Raw genomic sequence first — 9150 nt, forward strand, 5'->3', positions numbered from 1 at the left:
GTTTGAGCAAGTCTCCTGCCTCAGCCTCCCAAGTAGCTGGGACTACAGGCACCTGCCACCATGCCCAGCTAATTTTTGTATTTTTGGTAGAGAGGGCGGTTTCACCATGTTGCATGTTGGCCAGGCTGGTCTTGAACTCATGACCTCGTGATACACCCACCTTGGCCTCCCAAAGTGCTGGGATTACAGATGTGAGCCACCACACCCAGCCCCAATTTTTTTTAAGACAAGGTCTTGCTCTGTTGCCAAGGCTGGAGTGCAGTGGCATGATCACAGCTCACTACAGCCTTGACCTCCTAGGCTCAAGCCATCCCTCTCACCTCAGCTTCCCAAGTAGCTGGGACTACACGAACAAGCCACCACACCTGGCTAATTTTTTAATTTTTGGTAGAGATGGGCTCTCCTTGTGTTGCACAGGCTAGTTTTGAACTTCTGGACTCCCGCCTCTGCTTCCCAAAGTGCTGGGATTATAGGCATAAGCCACCGTGCCTGGCCTCACACAGATATTTTAACATCTCCTAAACATTGATCTGAAGACCTGTTTCCACCTCTGTCTGAAATCATCTCTGTCCTTGATGCTTGCACTTAAGAAAAACAGAACTACCTTTGCCTCTAGTTAGCTTAAGGCAGGCTATGTAGAAGAATATTAAACAATTGACAGAATCATTTGAAAGACTAAGGGAACTAACTATAGACTCAACTTCCAGTAATGATTCCCAACGCTGCACCAAGAGCCAGGCTGACAAGGGAGCTGCTGCTTCGACCATAGTCAGAAAACTGCCTTCCGAGCCTAGAGGCTGCCTCTATTGCTGCCAGCTGCTGAACTGTGCTACTTCTGTTATGACTGGCACCAGTAAAACTAGTCAATTAATCCAATTTCATACTCAAGTCTCTCATAAATGTGTATAATTGGCAAAATCCAAGTCACACCCAGACTGCCAAGTTGCAAGGTTGAGAAATGTTTTTAACTTTCTAGGCTCTGTAATACAGAAAGTCATCCTAGAAAGAAGTTGTAATAAATGCTGAGCAGATTGTTCCATACTCTCTAACACACAGTTTATTAATTTTTATAGTGCTTCACCCTCAAAGAACTTTCATGAACCTTGTCTTATGAAGACCCCTTGAGATTTGTAGAACAAAGATCCTCATTCCCATCTCTAAAATAAGGAATCTCAGACTCAGCAAAGTCACATGGTGAAGCCAAGACTAGATTTAGTGTTCCTAAATCCTAGTCCAGTTCCTCTCCCATGACACTCAGGAATCTAAGTTTCACTAGAACCCTAGGCTCTGAGCATTTGAACCTTTAGACTGACGACCGCTGCTGTTTCGCTGTACAAGGTGGCATCATCAGCAATGCAGGACTGCTCCCGGAGGAAAATCTGCCTCTGACGGGGTGGGGAGACTCAGCTCCAGGGAAAATAATTAATCCTTCAGTCTTCTGATTCCTATTAGGATAGCGTCTCTCTCATTTGTTATCTTTAAATGAAGTGAAGTGGGTGCTATCAGAAAAGTGGTGCCTCCTCCTCGACTTACCGTGATGTTGATGGGCAGGGGGAGCAAAAATATTTCCACATTTTTATTTTCACTGGAAATTTTCACTGGCAGAGATAAAGCTTTGTGGGCTGATCATACTCCTAGTAAATCCTGTTTTGCTGTTATAAAAAATCTGACTAGAAAAGAGAATTATTGATTTCCCTGAGAAATAATGAAAAGCCATTAATGTATGCATGTCTATATGCATTAAGAATTCTTGTGTGAGAATATTACTCTAATATTTTAGATGGGCACTTGTAGAAAATTATTCCGTTCCAGGTCAAAGAAGAAATAAATTTTAAAATTCAAGGATCTGGAATATTAGTTTTATAGCTTCAAATCTAGAAATTGTTGAATCCTAGAGTGTTTCAGCTAGAGGAAATCTCTGAAGTTATCTGTCTAGTGTATTTCAACCAAATTTAGAGAAAAAAATCACACACCCTTATTTCAAATAAGATGTTATGGAGAAACCTCAACCAGAAAAATAAAACTGTTCTGAATGAAAAGAGGCAAGAGGGCCAAGCCGGATATAAGTCACTTTCTCACAATTTTCCCACCCACCGGATCTCCAAGGAACCAAGGCTTCAAAAACAACAGTTCAAAAGGCACAAAAATTGTCAAGCTAAAGGCCAACTGAATGCAATAGAAATTGCTATGAGGCAAAAAGAGTTTTCCCAGACAAGGCTTTATTGGAGCTTATGCCCTGGCATAACGAAGGCAGCACAAGAGGAGAATTCTCTGGCTGACTCCCCAAAAAGAGCCAGTAGGGATTTTTTTTTAATTAGGCAAAGTGTGGGAATTGATATTGTAAACCGAAAATGAAACTCTAAGGTCCCCAAACCATCTGAATGGGTCCCTCCACTTGCCAAGGGCATTCCAAAGTTAATCTGAAAAATTAGTTGCAGGCTGTGATGGGAAGGGGGAGCCAGGCATGCCTCATTATGCTCTCCTCCCTTTTGGAATTACTAATAGAACAGACTCTTTCAATATGATAAGAAGCATTTACAATCTATTCTCTCTGAAGCCTGCTATCTGGAGGCTCATTCTGCATAATAAAATCTTGGTCTCCCCAACCTCTTATTGTGACTCAGATATTCCTTTCCATTGATAATAATTTTTCAACCAATTGCCAATCAGAGAATCTTTGAATCTGCCTATGACTTTAAAGTCCTCTCTTCCAGTTGTCTTGTCTTTCAGGACCAAACCAATGTACATCTTACATGTATCAATGAATGTCTCATGTCTCCCCAAAATGTATAAAACCAAGCTATACTCCAACCACCTTAGACACATGTTCTCAGGATCTCCTAAAAGCTATGTCATGAGCCATTGGTCAGTCATATTTGGCTCAGAATAAATCTCTTCCAATATTTTACAGAGTTTGACTCTTTTTGTCAACAATATCAGGGCTAGGGTATGCAGGGTGGGGTGGGCAAAGCACCTGAGTGGTAAGGTATGAAGGTCAGCATATCTGGTTGCCATGGATATCTTGAATAATGGGCCCTCTGGTGGTACGGCCGGCAGTAAGACTGTAAATCAATTGTGCAGCATTCCTGCCCAAGGTGGGACACTCTACAAACTTGGTTCACAACTACGGTTACATCTTGGATCTCCTAAGGCCAGTTTCTGAAATTCTTTAAGTAACAAGTATGGTCAAACATTATGAGAGCACAGAAGAACAACATAGACTGGCTATTTTCTTTTCATGACTATTGATTTGTGTGCTAGTCTGTTCTCACACTGCTATAAAGAACTACCTGACACTGGGTGATTTATGAAGAAAAGAGGTGTAATTGACTCACAGTTCCACAAGCTGTACAGGAAGTATAGTTGAGAGGCCACGGGAAAGTTATAGTCATGGCAGAAAGGTGAAGGGGAAACAAGCATGTCTCACCACGGTGGAGCAGGAGAATGAAGAGGTAAGCATCGCACGCTTTTTTTTTTTTTTGAGATAGAGTCTCACTCTGTTGCCCAGTCTGGAGTGCAGTGGTGCGATCTTGGCTCATTGCAACCTTCACCTCCCGGGTTCAAGTGATTCTCCTGCCTCGGCTTCCCGAGTAGCTGGGACTACAGATGAGTGCCAACATGTCTGGCTAATTTTTGTTTTTAGTAGACATGGAGTTTCGCCATGTTTGCCAGGCTGGTCTCAAACTCCTGACCTCAGGTGATCCACCTACCTTGGCCTCCCTAAATGCTGGGATTACAAGTGTGAGCCACCACGCCTGGCTGGTGTCACAATTTAAACCAATCAGATCTTGTAAGAAGTCACTATTGTGAGAATATGAAGGGGAAAATCTGCCCCCATGATTCAATCACCTTCCACCACGTCCCTCCCCCAACATTAGGAATTATAACTCAACACGAGATGTGGCTGGGGACACACAGCCAAACCATATCAATGGGTGTGGCATCAGTGAGGTAGTGGTGTGGGTTTGTGATCAGTGGGAAAGCATGAAAGAATGCTCAAATGTGGGTGAGCTGAAGTCAAGCCCTACCTCTACTCAGTCTCATTACCAGCCTTAGGATTTGAACTCAGGTCTTCTTATTTCCATTGTTTTCCCTTGAAAAATTCCTTGGACAAAGTTCTTGTTGGTGACTTCTGCAGCTCTCTCTTTGCCTCATCCCAAGGACTCACACTTGCTTCTCACAGCAACTTAAGGGTCAGCTGGGATGATTCTATTCATGTGGGTCTTGCCTCCAGGCTTGATAGGCACTAGGGATGAACTGAAGACACTACATTATCTTTGATCTTAAGGGGAAACAGTGTAGGTGAGTTGTTAAATGGGTGTTAAATCAAGTTTAGCCTAAAGCTGCCTCCTTACATGTTTTAAGTTTGGCCTGAAAATTTCTCTGTACATAGTGAACTATAACCTAAATGAAATTGTATACAGACTATAGCCTACTCTTGTGCCAATCACTGAGTTTTGGCCAATCAAAGGTGGCCAACTGTTCAAACCGTGTTCAAAAAAAGGCAAATGCCAAGCTGCAACCAGTCTGGCTGTTTCTGTACCTCACTTCCCTTTTCTGTATGCTACTTTCCTTTTTCTGTCCATAAATCTTCCACCACGACTGCACTGGAGTCTCTGAGCCTACTCTGGCTCAGGAGGCTGCCGGATTTGGAAATTATTCTTTGCTCAATTGAACTCTGTTATACTTAATTCAGCAAAAGTTTTTCTTTTAACAGGGGAAGGCCACAGATAGCCAGGGAAATGAAAAAATAAAGACATGGATTTTACAGAAAATTCTTATTTATCTGGTGCACTGCCTGGGTCATGACTTTTGTGCCTTACTTCCAGGGCCTGGATATTTAGAGGGACAGAGCCAGGGCAAGCTATCCTTTTTCTATTCTGCCTCTCTCTGTTTTCATCAACAACAGCTCTGAATCTCTTAAGACAGTGGCTCTCAAACTAGTTCCAAGGTTAAATTCTAACAGTGGCATGCATTTACATAAAAATTAAGTTAATTTATAGAATTTTCAGAAACTAAAGTTTACCTCCCAAAGTGCTTTTTAAACTTTGATGTCTACCATTGCTTGCCTGTCACTGAGAGCTAACAGATGTCAAACCTAATGAATATATAGCAAAGGAATATTTATGCAAAACTTAGAAGCAACTGATCCTGCTCAGGTTTGCAGCTTGTTTTTTTGTGGACCCTTGGATTCACAGGTTTATGCTGTATCCTTACAGTGCAGGCTGTCATAATTCACATAATAATAAAAAGAATAGCAATCTTTATGCTTATATATACTTAGAATATCTCTGCATTATTGCTAAGAAGCTTATAATAGCGGTAGTGTCTGGGAAAGATAAAATGTCTTGGAGTAAGAGGTGGGAGAGAAACTGACTTTTTATTGTATATCTGTTTATGTGTTGACATTTTTATCATGTGAATCTCTTCAGTTTTCAAAGAAATTAAAATTGAAATACATGTGCTTTAAATATCTCGGTGCTGGTATATCACTCCACAGATTCTGATTTAATTGGTCTGGGCTGTGACCTAGGCATTGGGGTTTTAAAAAACTCTTTACTGGCTGGGTGCAGTGGCTCACACTTGCAATCCCAGCACTTTGGGAGGCTGAGGCAGACAGATCACTTGAGCTCAGGAGTTCAAGACCAGTCTGGGCAAAAAATACCCATCTCTACAAAAAACACAAAAATTAGCCAAGTATGGTGGTGTGTGCCTGTAGTCTCAGCTACTTTGGGGTTGAAATAGGAGAATTGCTTGAGCCCTAGAGGAGGAGGTTGCAATGAGCTGAGATCATGCCATTGCACTCCAGCCTGGGCAACAAGGCGAGGCCCTGAGGAAATTAGAATGTGCAGCCAAGACTAAGAATCATTGCTCCAAGTTATTATCAGAACTTTTCCACTATTATATATTGATAATTGTAAATTGTGTATGGCAGGCATTCCTAGCTTTTTTGAGAAGGGCCTCTTGAATGTCAAAAACATTCACAGTACCTTACACCAAAGCTGACACATATTTAGTGTGTGTTGATTGAGAAAATATCAAATGTCAGAAAGTTACTATGAATTAATCTCAACAAAATTGATGTGCATTTGGAAAATCACAGTATGTATATGCATATAGGTGGGAATCAATACCAATGCTCTCTACAGGTAATTCTTATACTTCTTATATAAGATTTGTACAAGGGTTTCTTGTAAAATCCTTGGTTTCCTAGAAGTTCACAGCCCACAAGGTAGAAACCACTGAATTTAGGAATTGCTTTTCCTGGACAAGACTGTAGAGAGACATTTTGACCTCCTGGGCAGTAGACAGCAAACAGTAAGCATTTTCCTAGTGTTGACCTAAATTCTGCTTGTTTCTTTGTTATTGTTTTATTTCAATTTCTACTCATGTACCAATATTCCCCAGAACATAAACCCTACCTCTTCCCAATCTTATTATAAGACATGTTTAAATATGCAGCAGGCTTTTCTCTCTTGGTGACTTTGCTGGGGCTATTGGCTTTGTTTAGAATGATAGCAGAGAATAAACCCTGCTTCTTTCTGACCTAAGCCTCCCACATCATGACGACACCCTGCTCAACCTAGCTTTAGTGGAAATCATCTCTGCATCCTTTGTTCACATAGAGAGGTAACTAGCCCCTTAAATATTAGAAGCCAGCCTGACTTTTCTCTTTGAAGGTAAATATTAGGAAATCTCTTTGTTCCCTGGTGTTAGAGGTCAGTGGGGAAGGACTTAGTGGAGAGGCACTATGGGGAGCTTCTGAACTTCTTTTTGTAAAATAGCAGTATGAATATCAGACTCTTATCAAAGCTCATTAAAGACAGGAAAATTGCCAATCTTGAATGCTCCGAGCTTTGCCATCCCCAATTTTTTGTAGTCATGAATTACATTTACTCTTTTTCTTTTCTTTTTAACCTCCAACCAATGATCAAGTTCCACTCAACCAAAGTCTAAAGAGAACTATTAAGTATACTGTATTTGGCTTAGATACATCACCATGCCATAGTATGGTTTTTACTAAGCTGGCATGTTTTGCACGGTTGGCATGGTTTTTACTAAGCTATACACATTTTTCTGTCAGTTCTGAATACTATGGATTTTTGTCCTCCCTTGTGAATACCTGACTCTACCTTAAAGTGAAAAACAACTAAAGAAACAGAAAAGCACTTCACTCTTTGAATATGTAATAAAATATAGGGTTCAAGTTCTACCCATTTTATAAGCAAGTAAGATTCCAGCCATCAATCAACCTGTAGTAACTTTTACTTAACTGTATTTCAAAGGCATATAAGGTGAGAGTAGTAGCAGAAAAAAAGTTGGTCTCACCTAAATAGCCACATCATAGCTAACAAATAATGCCAAAAGATTCACCAGAATTTGCTTCCAAGTCCACAAGAAAGATGGCTTGTTCTTCCATAGAGTTTCTTCTTTGGTTTTTCCTTAGCCATCCTTGTGAAATTCTGTGTCTATTTAATAAAGTTTTCTCTGCTTTATTTTTATATTCTTTTTTAAACATGATCACAAAAGTAATATATGGTTATTATAGAGCATTTGGGAAGAAAAATATATATTAAAAATACCTTAAAATCACCTATACAATTCAGAGAAAACCATTCAACATTTGGTTGAATTTCCTTTTCCCTTTTTCTCTATGTAAAGTATGTGTGTGTTTACACAAATATATACATGAATTTATAAACAAAATAGGAATATACTGTATACATACACGTTTTTGTATTGTGCTTTTTTCTCTTAAAATCTATTATCAGCATTTGTTTCCCCATTCTACATGCCCCCTTCTCCATTCTTACATTCACTGCCCCAATTTCAGATCTCATTTCCTCTGTTCTGGCTTATTACAGCAGCCTCCCTACTGGTAGTTTTCTCAGTCCTCACTGAGAAATCCATCCTCAATGGCTACAGTCAGAAGCATGATTCTACAACATGGCACTGATCACATCATTCTCCTATTTTAAAAGCCTTTGACATGTTGCCTCTCCCCACAAAGTAAATTCAAGTTCCCCTTTGTTTCCTCATGACCTTCCCCTGCTTACTCAGGCCTGTCAGTCACATCCAATTGTGCTCTCCCTCCATATATTTTATGCTATTGCAGCATTTCTCAAAGTGTGGCTCACACCTGCTTCAGAACCACAGGAGGACTTTGAATAATGCAGTCTTAGGTCACACACCAGGCACCCTGAATCAAAAACTCTAGGCATGGTCCCCGGACTCTGTATTTTTTTTTTCTTTTGAGACAGATCCTCGCTCTATCACCCAGGCTGGCATGCAGTGGCTCCATCTTGGCTCACAGCAACCTCTGCCTCCTGGGTTCAAGCGATTCTCCTGCCTCAGCCTCCCGATTAGCTGGGACCACAGGTGTGCACTAGCATGTCCGGCTAATTTTTGTATTTTAGTAGAAATGGGGTTTCACCATGTTGGCTAGGCTGGTCTAGAGCTCCTGAACTCAAGTGATCCGCCTGCCTCAGCCTCCCAAAGAGCTGGGATTACAGGCGTGAGCCACCGCGCCCTGCTGACTCTATTTTTAATAAGCTCTCCAAGCACTTTTTGAAGATCCTAAAGCATGGAAACTTCTTTTCTAAGGCCACCTAAAAGAAAACACTAACATTGACTGTTTAAAGGCATTTCCCATCAATTATATACTTCATTTGATCCTCCCTGCATTGCTCTGATTTTGGTTATATCATTATTCTACTCATTAAACAGATGAGAAAACATGCAGATGATCAAAAGACAGTAAGAGATTTGTCCCATCCACATAACCAGTAAGGTCTGGAGATAAGATTCAAGTCTGCTCTTTTCAAATCCAGATTCCATGAGCTTTCACTTCTACAGTAACCAGCTTCCCACTTTGCTCTGTAAAGAGGGTGCTATGTGCTCTCTGGAGACATTCGATCATTCTTAAAGGGGGACATCACAGGTGCTCTTACCATACATATTTCCCTCTACATACCTTTCCAATGCATGTGGTTGGTGAGTTTAACCTTAGATACTTAACCTAAGATTCTCTGCCTAACATCTTTCTCTTGGCCTGAGCAAGGGTAGACTAGAAGTGCCAAGGAGTTGGTGACTGGAGCCAATGACAGATGGGAGCTGGGGGATAAATACTCCAGCTTCCTTGCCTGGAAT

The sequence above is a fragment of the Homo sapiens genome, chromosome 2 (assembly GCF_000001405.40).
Source record: "Homo sapiens chromosome 2, GRCh38.p14 Primary Assembly".
NCBI lineage: Eukaryota > Metazoa > Chordata > Mammalia > Primates > Hominidae > Homo > Homo sapiens.